This window comes from Homo sapiens, chromosome 4, assembly GCF_000001405.40.
Source record: "Homo sapiens chromosome 4, GRCh38.p14 Primary Assembly".
Taxonomy (NCBI): domain Eukaryota; kingdom Metazoa; phylum Chordata; class Mammalia; order Primates; family Hominidae; genus Homo; species Homo sapiens.
In genome coordinates, this window is record NC_000004.12 from 21,618,912 (window position 1) to 21,634,801 (window position 15,890).

Consider the following 15,890-nt stretch of genomic DNA (forward strand, 5'->3'; position numbering starts at 1 on the left):
CATGAGCCACCGTGCCCGGCCATATTTATATATTTTCTATATTATCTCATATGTTCACTTGTTTGTTTCGTCTACCAAATAGTGAGTTACTTGATGATCCCAGGACCTCATTTCATTTATCTATGTGTAAATACCAACAATACCAACTATACACTGCTCACCCGATAAGTGAGACTCAATACATGTTTGTGGAGTGATTGGATAATTAACAGCAAAGATAGAAGTTAGTCCATTGGCCTCCGACTTCCCTCCTTAAGTCCTCGTTCAGAACTATTTTCACTGTACCATGCGTTCAACATTTAATGCTTAGATATTCATTTCCAAAGTCACAAATTAAAATAGAAAACTAATGCGCTCCACATTTTAAAAATCTTGAGAAATTGCTAATGATTATCAACTGAAATATTTGAATGTAGAAATAGCTTTTTAAAAAATTAGTGCTTGATTAAGCAAATATTAAACATGGTGGTACCACTGAGTTAAAGCAAGAGTAAGAAAGATGAATATTTATTATTTACATAAGTTTTGATCATATCCTTGTTGTTAGCTGTACTGCATACTTTAGAAGACATGCAATCAGACAGTCCAAATTCTAATTGCAGCTTTGCTCATTATTTCTGTCTGGATTTGTTCAAATCCTTAGAACCTTTGGAGACTGGAGGAAAAGTAACAACCCCAGGTAACCTGTTCCTGAAATAAGCCAAATAAGGCATAGATCCCAAGGTGAGGCTCCCTTTGTTGATTGTATTCACCAAATATATAAATTTACTAATAACTTTTTCATTCATCATCTATTCAGTAACTAAGCACCTGCTATGAACCAGGACTTTAGCTGGTATGACGGATACTAAAATGGGTAAGTCCTAGCCACTGTCTTCAAGTGTTTCATGGTCTAATGGAAGATGCAGAAGGCAAAAACTCAGATATTAAAAATCATAAGTGCTTTAGTAGATCACAATTGCAGCCAGAAGATGACACTTCAAATTAGAAGGGGTGTTACCTTGGGATTATGATTTCACTTCTGTAAGATTCCATCTTGTCTCCTGTAAAATGGGTATAGCAATAGTTACTTCATGAAATAAAGTGATGTAAAGACCATTGTACTCAATGTTTTGTGGAAGAAGTAAGGGTAGGTAATATACACCAGAAATTTTAGGCCCAAGGGGCAGCATGACTGAGCACATTAATAATTAATTCTGGAAATCCATGAATGGAGTCAGCAGTAGGAATTGGAAAGTGATTGTTTTAAAAAAGTGTTAAGGAGAGTGAAGATCAAAAGAGTAGAAACCATAAGTAAAGAAAGAATTGTGGCCAGGCGTGGTGGCTCATGCCTGTAATCCCAATACTTTGAAAGGCCAAGGTGGGCAGATCACTTGAGTCCAGAGTGTGAGACCAGCCTGGGCAATGTGGCAAAACCCTGTCTCTACAAAAAATACAAAAATTAGCTGGGCATGATGGCACATGTCTGTAGTCCCAGCTACTCAGGAGGCTGAGATGGAAGGATCTCTTGAGACTGGGAGGCAGAGGTTGCAGTGAGCCAAGATCACTCCTGTCTGGGTAATAGAGCAAGATGCCTGCCTCAAAATAAAAATACGATAAAATAAAATAAGTAAAAAAATACAGTAGGCATAGAAAAATATTATTAGAGTTTTACCCTCCTATCTAAAACTGTCCCCAAATCCTGTTAACTGAATAGAAAGAAAAATAGAAAATGAAAAAGAAAAAATAGCATTGATGAAAAATAGTTGCAAAGATTTCCCTGAACAATCAGCCCTAGCTAAGTTTCCAACTAAGCCCAAACTGTCTTATTACACATTCTACAACTCAGGAGGGGATATAAGAGAATCCCCTACTTTTCTTGCTCTAGTTTTTACAGCTGTTGCCCATGTACTTAGCCAAGGTCATGTGCTCAATCATCCAGTCCCGAGTTTTGCTTCTGATGCCCTGTCTTTCAGTACAGCCTTCTGACCTCTATCTCCAGTCTGCTCCAAACCTCCATGATGCTTCCCCAGCTCTGGGCCTGGTTGCTGATTGTTGTTTTCCTGAGATTCTGACTCCAGTGGTTTAACTAACAACCTTCCTACTTTTTCTTCTTATAGAGATATCTCAGGCTCCGTACAGAAACTCTTATTAAAACTCACAGCATTAAACCAGAACACAGACAAATGCCTACAATGGATGTGAAGTGAGCCAAGCAAAAAGCAATAAATAGGGAGTTTTGAGGATTGTTGCAAATAGTAGTAATGCTCCAACCAAAACTACTCAAATTTAATTTAAAAAGGCAAAACATCACTCTAGTCAAATAGTATATGTTCACAGGTCAAGAGGATTCAGTCTGCCACACCTAAATAAACACTTAATGCTATCTAGATCTCTCCAGTTGAAACTGCAGCTGCCTCAGACCCTGAAGTGTGCTGTTCACAGGAAAATGTGTCATAATTTTGCCATCTTATTACTTATTTTTTCCTGAGATAGGGTCTTGCTCTATCACCCAGGCTGGAGTGACGTGGTGTGAACATGCCTCACTGCAACCTCAACCTCCTAGGCTCAAGCGATGGATCGTCCTGCCTCAGCCTCCTAAGTAGTTGTGACCACAGGTATGCATAACCACATCTGATGAAATTTTTGTAGAGACAGGGTATCACCATGTTGCCCAGGCTGTTCTTGAACTCCTGGGCTCAAGTAATCCTCCCACCTTAGCCTCCCAAAGTGCTGGAATTAGAGGCACGAGCCACCATGTTCGGCCACTTCTTTTTTTTAATAGACAAAAAGGCAAAAGGAGGTTTTCACAATAGACAATGAGGCTTAAGCTTGTTTTCTGAGAATCCAACACATTTGGGCACGAAGGTCTGAAGCTGGTCTGCTAGAGGTACATTATATAAAAGAAATTGATATTTGATTCACCTATTGTTAATACTCAGGAACATTCTGAGGTTGGAGCCAGTGCCTTTATCTATTGAACAATCAGAAAGAAAAGAATGACCTAAGCCGGCATAAGCTCCCTATAAGAACAGTGAAAGACACATATCTAAGAAGAACCTAAAGGGATCCTCACCCTACTTCAGGGCTGCCATTGGCAACTGGCACCTCAAATACTGGGAGGCCAGGCAACTTTGCCTTTCAACTGTGAGTGCTGGAGAGCTCCTTGCTGTCACTGTCTTCATGCTGCGAAGTTATTGTATCCTTTGCTCATATTAAAGATGTATCTTTAGCCTGGAATCATTGGTACCTTTCTGTCAATCACTGTCACCAGGTAGCAACTACCAGGTAATTATTCACAGATGTACAAATGATGTATAATTAAAAACTGCTTGCTAAAGTCTTTTAATGACTTTACCCCCAAGATGTTCCTTATTTGATCTCTGGGACAAGAAAAAACGGGCCCTTCTGAGTATGTTAATTGAGGTCATAATTGGCTGATATGTATAATCAGTTTTTCCATGTGTTTTCTCAACCTTTTGCCTGCCTATCCTGCAATTCCACACCAATTAAAAAAGAAATTTATTAAATATATGTGTTCTTCTTTCATTGCAAAATCTCTTATTCCCCAGAGTATTTCAGAAAGGGCAAGACAACCTTGCTTTCCAGCTGTTTGCAAGCATTATGCCTTTGAGTCATTATGCAGAGCTTTTTACAAAATCAAGACATGTATTCATAATATCTGTTAATTTAACATGTTTATTTATATCACTGGAGCATGACTTCTGCATATAAAGAAAGACATATTTTAATAGTTAAAATTTAATTAAAACTATAAAACTACATAATTCTCCATATTTATAATTTTTAAATAATCAGCAAAATCCTGAATAAGAGGCATCAACTTAAAAAAATAGTTTGAAAATGATTTCTCTCAAGGAAGGAGGAAGGAGTGACCTGAATTTTACAAATAGAAACTTTCTAAGTAACACCTGAATTGTCAGGGCAGGTTATACTTCACAAAATCAAATCAATTTCTGTGACTTGTTTTTTATATTTCTTCTGCCATCACTCAGAACTTAATAACTGGGAAGATTTCAAATACAATAGGTGAAAATATCCAGTCATTTATATTTTTTGTATAAGTATTTAACATTCAATATGATGGAGCTTATGACATCACTTAAATGAGATTAAAGATGTCTGAGCTTAGCCAACTACAATACTAGCAGCAAATGTCCTTGTGTTCAGTGCAGTACTATGATTTCCAATTAGTTTTTTCCATCGGCTTAATTTGAAATCATAATATCATAAACATTCTGAATTTGACATTGTGTGTCTTCATTTTAATAGCAGGAAAACAGATTTGTAATTTTTGAGCACTTTATAGATGGTGAATTATATCACACACTGAGTCAAATCTTATTACTAAACAATTATGAATTTACCAGCTAGTGACTGGTATCATGCTACTTGCTAGAAAAATTACTAAACATAAGATATGCTTTATATGAAAGGAGATTACACCTATGAGGACAGGAAAATGCCGTATTCATCTTGGCATTCATGTTTTTATCCTACAAAGCTGAGCTCAATATTTTACCAACAGTAAGAACTCAACAAATATTGAATGGAATGGTTTCTCTAATAAAATTTCTCTCTCTCTGTCTCTCATTCACAGTTTTTTAGCTTATGTTGGTTCCCAAACTTTAGCTTTTAGTTTTGCATAAGCATTACCTGGGAGTTCTGCCACTTACTACTTTCTGCCATCTACTACTCTCAAAGTTCTTTTCAATTAGTTATAGAGAAGCTTAGGAAGCTACAGTTTTCAGACCACCAGAAATACCAGCTTAGTAGTTACCAATAGTTCTTTCTTGTTGGAGCATCTCAGAAAAGCATTACCTGGGAGTTCTGGCACTTACTACTTTCTGCCACCTACTACTCTCAAAGTTCTTTTCAATTAGTTACAGAGAAGCTTAGGAAGCTACAGTTTTCAGACCACCAGAAATACCAGCTTAGTAGTTACCAGTAGTTCTTTCTTGTTGGAGCAGCTAAGAACAAGTCAAAGTATTTATTGAGAAAGAGTGGAATTTGAATAATAACCTTCCTTTCTGCTCCATCCCAGTGAAAGCAGGGTGGGTGATGGTGATATATATACTGTATACATGCACAAGAATCTGTGCAGAAATAACATGTATCCAGCATCCCTCACTCCAGGCAGCAATTAGCCCTTTCTTCCCTTCCCTCCCCAAGAGGCAATGTACTACAATGAATAGCGCACAGGACTTCAGATCAGACAGACCGAAGAAACTTCAAATTCTGCCTCCATTACTTACCAACAGTGAATTTGGGCAAGTGACTTGAACTCCCAAGTCAGCTTTATAATATATATATAAGAAGAGTAATAACTAGCTCATAGGGCTTTTGTGGGAATAGAGAAGTTCATAGAGAATTTTCATAGCATATATTCCAGAATTGTAACTATTGTTTTTTCCATTTACAGACTCTAAGTTAAAGAAAGAAACTACAGTATTACCAGTCACATATATTTATACACTAAGTGAAAATGTCACCACAACTCAAAAAAATAAGTGGGTGTGGAATAGATGACCTTCGACCTTGATTCTTAACCTAGGATGGGATAATTATATGATTCATATTGATGTATTTATCCATATATAATTTGACATAGGATTGTCTAAATGTTGTCAGTTCAAAGTAGATCATCTGGCCTGACTAAAAAGTTATCATATTTCATATTTTAGTAGATATAAAATTTGACTCTAAAATGTCAGTGCCAAAATCTTAGAAATAATATTCATGTTTTTACTGGAGTCTCAGATAATAATAAATAGCTCTGTCAAATAAAAAAGGTAAAATATAAAATCTGAAAATGGGCAATATGTTTCAACAAGTGAAGAGAAACAATAAAGTCAAAGACTCTTTGACGCCGTAAATTGAATGCCAACTTTCTATTTCACTTAGCTTCTCCCCCACTTATTATGCTCTTACAGGTTTTGAAAGACTCTTAACAGGTAAATGCCCTCATAAATTCTTGAATATACTGAGATTAGAGTTCCCCTTCTGCTAGCTCCAAAGTTACCTAATTTTGTGACAAAGTAGCTGACAGAATGTGGCAATTAAGCTATGTTCATATTAGACATGGCTGCATCTATTTTTTTTAACCAAAATGATCTGAGGTTCCAAATTATGAAGCACAGCAAACCAACAGTGCTTTTCAGGGACAAACTGAATATTTAAATAATTTTTAAATAAATGATCATGACTTTGTTGGTCCTCCTTTGCTGAGCACTAAAATGATGATGATGATGATGATAAAATAATAATATACATTAAACAATCCCTGCAGTACTACTTAACTATTTTTTACCTCTATTTTTGAATCTATAAAATACAGATAACAATTGTATTTACCTCCATAGGGTATGCTGAATGTTAAATATGTTAATAAATCTGCTGATCTCAGCACATGGTAGGTTATATGAGAATGTCTATAATTACTATTTATATTACTATTTATAATTATCCCATTTGTAAAATTGAGGGCAGTGGGTATGTTGTTATCCTAATTGGGGAGTAGAGGAAGCTGAAGCTTGGTAAGGTCTGTAATTCTCTCAAGTCCACATGGGGGACATCAGTGGAAGTCGAATTTAAATCCCACTTCTCTCATTACAAATACTCTTTCCCTAACTCAGAGCCTTCTCACAGAAAACTGCAGAAAGCTGGTGAGCTACCCCATGTGCAGAATGCTCTATCAGTGACTTTGTCAGAGTAGCAGGGCCTGAACAAAAGCCAGGTCTGCCCTTCTTTTAAGTCACTCTATATAAGAGAGAAGTACTTTTGACATGCCTTTCAGTTAAGTGTACTTAAAGCAAAGCTCTCAAGCTTTCCAATGACTAAATGCTAGAGGAAATAATGGGAATAGTCAATACCTGTAACTGAAAAATTGCTGACTGTGTGACACAGCAAATCATTACACTGTTCAAATACCAATTTATAAAGCTGGAGTGATCATAGCTGTCTGGGCCAATTCATCTTAGTCTCTCTTGGTTTGGAATGAATATTTGGTTGGTTTAGACAGCAAAAGCCTTTGACCCACAAATGAGAGGCTAGGCTTGCCAGATCTAGTAAACAAAACTACAAGCTTCCTAGTTGAATTTTAATTTCAGATAAACAGCCAATACTTCTTTAGTATGTTACAAATGTTGCATGAGGCATATTTATACTAAAATATTGCTTGCTATTTATCTGATATTCAATGAAACGGAGTGTCCTGAATTTTACTTGGCAATCCTAGCAGGGGCTTACTTTGAAAAGTTCCTACCTAAGACTGAGCAGTTAAGGGAGGAAGTTGTTATAGAATGAATGTTTGTGTTCCTCCTAAAGTCATAGTTTGAAGCCCTAATCCTCAATGTGATGGTACGTGGAGATGAAGACTTTGGGAGGTAATTAGGGTTAGATGAGGCCACGAATGGTCAGGTTCTCATGATGGGATTAGTGCCCTTAAAAAACAGATACCAGAGAGCTTGTTTTTTTTGTTTTTTTTTCACCCCCTAAGTGTGCACAAAGAGGTCATGTGAGCACACAGCAAGATGGCAGCCACCTAGAAGGCAAGAGAAGAAGCTTCAGAATGAAACCTACCTTGCTGGCACATTGATCTTGGACTTCCCAGACTCTAGAACCAAAAATAAATTTCTGTTGTTTAAGCTACTCAGGCCATGGTGTTTTGTTATGGCAGCCCAAGCAGACTAAGATAGTAATACTAAGCACTTTGGGGCAGTGGCAACTACCCCATCTCACTCAAACCCTTCATCAATGGTGGTACCAAGCTGTGTAGACAACCCTTCTTTGCCTAAATTTCTTGAGTCCCCAAGATGTCCAATCCCTAAAGGAACTAGTATGTAAATAATGGGAGTCATATGGGTTCTTTTTTCCCATTGAACGACAGATCGTTTCTCCACATGATTGGCTGCACCTTTCCTATTTTGCTGTGCATTTCTAAAACTGAGTTCCATTTTTTTTTTCCCCAGGCTACACTCTTTCAGGTTCCAGTCACTGTTGTGCAACTGTCTGGCTTACAATCTATGTTTATTTTAAAATCCCACTAAGAATGGATTTAGATATATAAAGTCCCGGCCTAGTCACTTTTAGTCCTTTTTCCTATTGCCTCTTAAATGTTGTTTTATAACTGAATGCTGAAGTCAGATTTTCTTTTTTACTTCAGAAAACTTTTGCTATTGAACTGTTGAAAATCTTAGCCTAAATAACAAATTCTTTTGCAAAATTTGTGTGTAGATTCCAAAATCTCCACCTTGTTGAATAAACTTTTCCAATTACTTTGGCACACACATATGAATCTAGACCTTTTCAGATTTCTACACTGCATTCTACACTAGGCAGTTTAGCTCTTGGTTATAAACCATGGTTTAGTTTCATTATAAACTATGGTTTGGTTGAGCTCTTGGTTATAAATTATGTTTTAATTTTCCTTCTATTCCTACTCCATTTTTTCCCGATCTGTCTTTCCCATGCACACACCCATGCATGCTCACACACCCAAAAAACTGTTAATCCTCATTTATTTTTCATTCATCTTTAAACATAATCAGTGCAGTGCTAAATACATAACTGCTGCTTAACACATTAGCTGTTGATTATTTTCTGATATTTGCCTGAATTACACTCAATTATTTTTAACTTTTGAAATTATTTCTGTATTTTACCTTATTATTAACCTAAGAGGAAAAGAGGAAAAGATTTTATCTGGAAAAAAATAAGATGATTCTCAAGAAATTTTCCATGAAGAACTTGCCAAAACATAATATAAAAAGAATTGTGGTTTCTGAAATTTACTTAAGGCCTCCTGGATGTTGATCTTTTCACACTGAAGCTGATTTAATTTTGCCCCTGAGCTTGTAAGCACCAGATAATTTGCTTGCTTGGATTGTCACTGAGTCTAATAAGTGTCGGTCATTAATAAAACTTTTTCAGAACATGAGAATGATGTAGGAATGGTGCGGTTATATTATGAAAGTTGAGTGTAAATGATTCTTGGGAGGAAAAGATTTCCAAATTATGCAACGAATGGAATTTACTCAACTTTTAAAGATCCAAAGGGAGGTAATATGTATGCAGTAATGCTTGTTTAACAGACCTGGGCTGAGCTTTTCTACCCAAAATAGATATATTTTACATAATAATGCTATATATTGGTTTATTATAAGTTACATGAGCCTGGATTCCTCTGTAAGTATTGCTTACTTTACCTCATTTCAAATTCATTATAGAATTCATGGTTCTTTTGTGCTTTTTTAGAAAAAGATATTTCCCCAATGGATATTTTACTTCCTTTCAACCTGCTTCTTTACCTCCTCCAAAATTCTAAATTCTGACTATTAAACATGATTTAATGAGCTGAGAGTAGGTATGTTCCTTCACTGTGATTACCCAATACCCCATGCATACCTCAATCCTGCCGAGTTGCAATCTTCATTTTGCCTGACTATATCTCTTGTGCTAAACTACTGGCTCTTCAGAAGCAAGGCCGGCTGTTATCCTCAAGGTGTGTAAGTCCTAGCACATGCTGGTACTTGACATATGCTTGATATACAAATTAAAAATGAGCCGTGATGATCCCAGGCACTCAATACTAGTGGCAGTACAGTAAAGTGGCTGAGAGCAAGACGGTCTCTGCAGATCCTTGGCTTAAATTCCCATTGAAAACATTTCATTTCATTTAGAGAAATGTCACTTTGAAAAGTTCTGGCATTTTATGTCCTTTTTAATGCTAACCACAGTTATATTTATCTTTTTTACTATTATTCAATGTGATCCTATGTTGTCTGTACTTTTAACGGCACTAGAAAAAAAACAAGTATCTCCCTACCAATAATAATGAGTCACACAAGTGAAACATATTTAGGTAAATAGAAATTTTGCTATATTTAACCAATCACTATTGAACTTAATACCATAATAAATTATACCCATTTACATTTGATTAGCACTTGCAAGTTTATACACCTTTCCCATAAATTATCTTATTTAAAATGGCACATTAGCTTTTTAATTATATAAGAATTTCACAAATATGTGGTTTTGTGGAAAATCTGAAGTACAAAAGTATATACATTTAAAGGTAGAGTTCTCATTAACCTGAGATAATAAAATTGCATTTTCTCCACACCCCTCCAAGGTGTTGGGTGGGTCACAGGTCAGAAAACTTAGCAAGCCACGAGAGGTAGGCTGACAGATGGTTGGGACTTAGCAGGAGGGTTTGCAAAGCAGTGCAAAGCAATGCAAAAGAAAAGGTTTGCAAAGCAGTGCAAAAGAAAAGCTTGGGCCTGAAATAGAAAATCTATTTTAAAAGAAGACATATTGTGTCAATAGTTATCACAATGATACTTGAGAGTTTAAGCACCCCAAAAGAATAATAAATCAATGATCAGCTTCATCAGATGTAACTGATTGTATTGCATCACTGAAGCTAATGTACAAGAAAATTATCTGGGGGAATTAGCTTGCCTAGTTTCATGGCTCCTTAAGGAAGCAATAATACTAACTACTCTCAAAGCAACAAGAAGGCTGTCAGCTGTAGGCGCTTTCATGTGAAATGCCCCTATTTGATGCCCTGTTAGAGTCCAATTCACTGCTAGTGTTCTTAGACTAAATAAAGAACAGTAGCTGAAGGATTTGCTATCATATCATAATGTGTGAAAAATGCTACAGTGTCCCTTTATGAGATATTAAAACTGTATGTAAATAGAAATAAAACTGCATGATGTCACCATCACGAAGCTAAGTTTTAAAAAATGTTCTTCAAATTCAGAAACAACCTGATACCTATAGGGAATTTAGATTCTTTTTGACTAGAAACATCAAGAGAACAACATACCTGTTTAGTTCGGCACAGTGTACGCTCTATTCTTGGGCGATTTCTACATGAAAATTAGTAATGTCTTGATGTCAGAAAACCATATTTCCTTTTCTTTTTCTTTCTTTTTTTTTTTTTTTTTTTGAGACAGGGTCTTGCTCTGTCATCCAGGCTGGAGTGCAGTGGTGCAATCATGGCTCACTGTAGGCTTAACCTCCTGGTCTCAAATGATCCTCCCACCTAATCCTCTCTACTAGCTGAGACCATAGGCATGGACCACCACAGCTGGCTAATTTTTTTTTTTTTTTTTTTGACTTTTTGTAGAGACGAGGTCTAGCTATGTTTCCCAGGCTGTTCTCAAACTCCTGGGCTCAAGTGATCCTTCCACCTTGGCCTCCCAAAATACTGGGATTACAGGTGTGAGCCACCATACCCGGCCAACATATTTACTTTAAAAAAGCCTTCAGCGCGGTGGCTCATGCCTGTAATCCCAGCACTTTGGGAGGCCAAGGTGGGTGGATCACGAGGTCAAGAGATTGAGACCATCCTGCCCAACATGGTAAAACCCCATCTCTACTAAAAATACAAAAATTAGCTGGGCCTGGTGGCACATGCCTGTCATCCTAGCTACTGTGGAGGCAGAAGAATCGCTTGGACCTGGAAGGTGGAGGTTGCAGTGAGCTGAGATCCTGCCACTGAACTCCAGCCTGGCAACAGAGGGAGATTCCATCAAAAAAAAAAAAAAGAAAAATCCTTCAGAATCCCATTTTCTTCTCTATCATCACCATACTCATGTTCATATTATCTAAGTCTTCATAAATTATATTGATTACTTACTCTGCTTTTTTCTCTTTCCCCGGACCCTGCTGGTTTAGTTTCCAGCATCAAGTGTTAGGCTTATTGCCATCAATTCCTTAGTGCTTTTCTCAAACCTCTCTTCGCTGCAGATACGATGATTGAAAACAAACACACTAACAGATATGGCCATGAAACTTTCCTGTTTAAAATCCTTCAATGATGCCCTCTTCATCCAATGAACAGTTGTTTCCTTAATAGCCTCTAGACGCCCGCAAGAAAGAGCCCAAACTCCTTTGCATAGCATGAAAGATGTTTCTGTTTTTTGCCTAATGTATTGAGTAACATGTTTTGCTACTCTCCTCACACCTACTTTTCAGAAATAACAAATCCCATGTTGTGTCTTGAACACCATATGGTACTTCCCATTCCCATTTACTTTCACACGCCCCTTGCACCTTCCGAAATGTCATCGCTCTCTAGTTCACCTGGCTACTTTCTACATAGTGTTATTCTGTGACGCTTCCTCACTATATTCGGTAAGGAAAATGTACTACCTCTGTATCTTATTATTGCTTCTCTTGTTGCTCACAAGTTATATATGAATTTGTTACATGTTTATTTCTCCTATCAACACATGAGATTCTTGAAGGCATGAACTTTGTCATATTTATCTTCCTATCTCCAAAACCTACTATAAAACATGCTTCATAATAAACACTCAATGAGTATATGTGGTTTGAATGAATGTACTTAAGAGAAAAAAAGATAGTAATATAAGCCATGCTTTTATTTTAATTAATGACATTTTCTAGTTTTCCATTTATTCAAATAGTAAAATTTTACTAAAAATGGTAGTTATGTAAACATTAGCTAAAGATGACCTATTGGACAGGCAATTTGCAAATAAATTATTTTCTTCTTAGATATGAGGTAAATCAATAGTAACTTAGCAATGAAGATATAAACTTAGACATTATACCTATATTCCAGTTGGAAAGGTGGATGGAGTTAATGCTATAAACACTTCAAAAAATGTATTTCTATCCTCCTAATATGGACATCTCTAATAGTTTCTGCAACTCCACGGTATAAAAACCCTCTGCTATGTCCTCTCAAAACACCTCCTCAATCTGGGTCAGGCCTGCCTTTCCTCAATTCAATTCTATCTTTATGTGCCCATATTCTGGACCAATTGTGCTCAATGGCATCTATGCTTTATTTAGAATAAGACCCTCCAAAGTTTCTAACTCTTGAGTCTTTAGTCTACCAATCTGTTCATCTTAAGTGAAAATTGATTTTCCTCTGACTCCATTTTCCTTGAGGGTTATGAAATAAAATGAGATTTGGTGTTCCATCATTTATACATTACCCACCATCTATTCATTCAACAAATATTTGGGTGCCACATTCAAGCCACTATTCCATCACCCTTGCTCTAACTTCCCATCCATTAAGAATTATGCCATCTTTTATCAGGCTTTCTACATCTTTGTGCTATCACAAGGAAACTCCCTCAGCTTTTAATTATTTGAGGACATGTACAATTTTACCTTTTTTTCCTTTTTTATATCCCTGGTTGCTTATGTCAACTTTCACAGTGATGATCTTCTAACATAATAGATTCCATGCTTTTTGATGTTCAGCATTATTGTTACACTTTAGTTTTCTACCACCCTACACTTTCGACTTCAAAAATAGTCTTTTGTCAGAGACAGAGTTTCGCTCTTGTTGCCCAGGCTGGAGTGCAATGGTGTGATCTCAGCTCACTGCAACCTCTGCCTCCCGGGTTCAAGGGATCCTCCTTCCTCAGCCTCCTGAGTACCTGAGATTACAGGTGCGAGCCACCATGCCTGGCTAATTTTTGTATTTTTCACTTGTTTTTTTTGTTTTGGGGGTTTCACCATGTTGCCCAGGCTGTTCTCGAACTCCTGACCCCAAGTGATCCACCCGGCTTGGCCTCACAAATTGCTGGGATTACAGGCATGGGCCATTGTGGCTGGCCAACTTCCATCTTTATAATAACCTCCTCTTTGCCTTTCATGCAATTGCTCTTATTGAAAGTAAATAGAATCCTTTCAATAAATATCTGTCCCAGGGTTTATAATGAGTCACACTTCAGTGCAAGACATACAAAGTAGAACCATGTAGGAACTCTATTCCAATGGAAGTAATAGGAGCTACAAACTTATGAGGGAAGCAGATAAGAAAATTCACCATTACATTAGACTCATATAGGTGCCACAAGAAGGGTATCTGGAGCAGGAGATGGAGGTCCAGCGTAAAGTAATGTCAGCTAAATATTTTGGGAACACTCTTCAAGAATTTCCAACTCAAATGCTTCCATGAAAGCATTAAAAACTATTCCATCCCTCTGGATGCCCCAAAAGAGTTTGCATAATTGTACATAACACAAAAATAATCTTATACTGAGGTTATATTTATGACAAGTTTTGTATCTATTTCTAAACGGTACGTTCTTCCAGCAGACTGATTTAACACTCTTCGGGTCACAGACGTTTTAAAAAATCTTTTTCATAATTATTTGGCAAATTTATACCTATCTACTCTTTAGGGACTTTTGTACAAGCTCCCTCACAAAAATCTTCTAAAGTTATAAGTTTATTGCACCCATTTACATAGAAGGAAACTAAAAATTAACAGCTATGTAAGGCATCTATGTTTACCTAGCTAGTAGACAGCAAACCTACATTAAAAGTGAGGTATAGTGGAGACTGCTAGGTAATCCCCCCAATTTTTTTTTGTTTCTTTTTGGACATATAGTTGAGCTGTATTTCCCAGTCTTCAATTCCATTGGATTTGGCCATAAAACCCAGTTCTAGTTGATGGGATGTTAGTGAATATAATGAAAGAGATTTCTGGGCCAAGCTAATAAAAATGCCACACTTTTGCTCCTTGGTACTCCTTTCCTTTTTCTAGAGTACTGGGAGGTTAGTATCTTCTAAGGCAAATGTGAAAGTCATGCATTGAAGATAGCCAACCTGAACATCCACTTAGACAATTAAATGAGAGAGAAATAAATCTTTGTGTGGAAAGTTAACAACAAGGCAGGCTCTATTTAATACTACAGGTTATCCTACCTTATTGAATGCAGTAGACCAGCATTTATCAAACATTTTAGTCTTAGGACCTATTGACACTTTCAAAAATTATCAAAGATTTCTAAGAACTTTTGTTAATATGGGTTTTATCTTGATATTTACCTTATTAGAATTTAAACTGAGAAATTATTAACATATTTATTCATTTTAAGATATAAAGTTAGTACATGTTAACATAAATATTGTTTTTGAAAAAAATGTAAATTTTCCAAAATAAAAAAAATTGTGAAGATTGGCATTGCTTTACATTTTTGCAAATACCTTTAATATTTCGGTTATTAGAAAATACTTACATTCTCATATCTGCTTCTGGATTTAGTCTGCTATGATAGTCATCGTAGAGCTTCTAGAAAAGTTTACTGTACATTTATTAGCAAAAGAAGATGAAAAGAGAAATATCATCTCAGTGTTACTACAAAAATAGATTCATTTCTTGAACCAGCTAAAAGAATCTCAGAGGTCCACACCTCATTAATGATCACATTTTAAGAATTACTGCACTAGACCTTTGACAACAGAAGTTACTATGTTATCCACTATGTAGTATTTAAAATTCTTAGGAAAGCTACGGGTTCTTTCCTCAAAAAAAAAAAAAAAAAAAAAAAACACATACATACATACTTTTATGCCTAATTTAAGTGGTTTCCTAAAACCCCTGAATCTCATTCAATGGAAGTCAAAAACTTTCTCTAGAGTAGATGGCATGGCTTTTTTTAACTTTCATGTATCTTCTACTATACTGAGAAATGTACACTTTATACTTTATATAATGTCAATAAACATACGCTAGAAACAGAAAACATTAGAACTGGGAGGATCTTCAGAGATCATACTGTGAAATTTTCTCCTTTTCACATTTAGACTGTGCAAACCTAGGGAAGGAAAGTGACTACCTCAAGGCCACAGTGAACATGATAAAGAAAGGATGCAGAAATAAAAACACAATTTGCAAAGTTATGACACATCACTCATTCATATTTAAAATCTTTAAGTGATATAAAGTTATACATTCAAAGAGACAAAAATATTTTTAGGATTTTGGAATTTAAGGAGACATATAAGCCATCTATTTAAATCATCTCATTTGTAAGAAAAACCTACAGGATCTCAGAAGGATTAAACTGCTTTGCTAAATTTACAAAATGGTAAAGACCTGGTTT

At 36.2% G+C, this 15,890-nt stretch overlaps 1 protein-coding gene across 5 annotated transcripts in view, besides 1 other annotated feature; it reads right to left on the bottom strand.

The window, feature by feature from the left end:
* KCNIP4 (potassium voltage-gated channel interacting protein 4) overlaps positions 1-15,890 on the bottom strand; it is a 1,220,167-nt gene that overhangs the window by 890,306 nt on the left and 313,971 nt on the right. The window lies entirely within an intron of this gene.
* Positions 7,215-7,384: an enhancer, noted in NCBI's record as "experimental_77821 CRE fragment used in MPRA reporter constructs". NCBI's record gives its function as "activates a minimal promoter by MPRAs in K562 erythroleukemia cells, with activity observed for the introgressed 4:21627834 variant allele {active_cell/tissue: K562}" and the evidence as "EXISTENCE:reporter gene assay evidence [ECO:0000049][PMID:34662402]".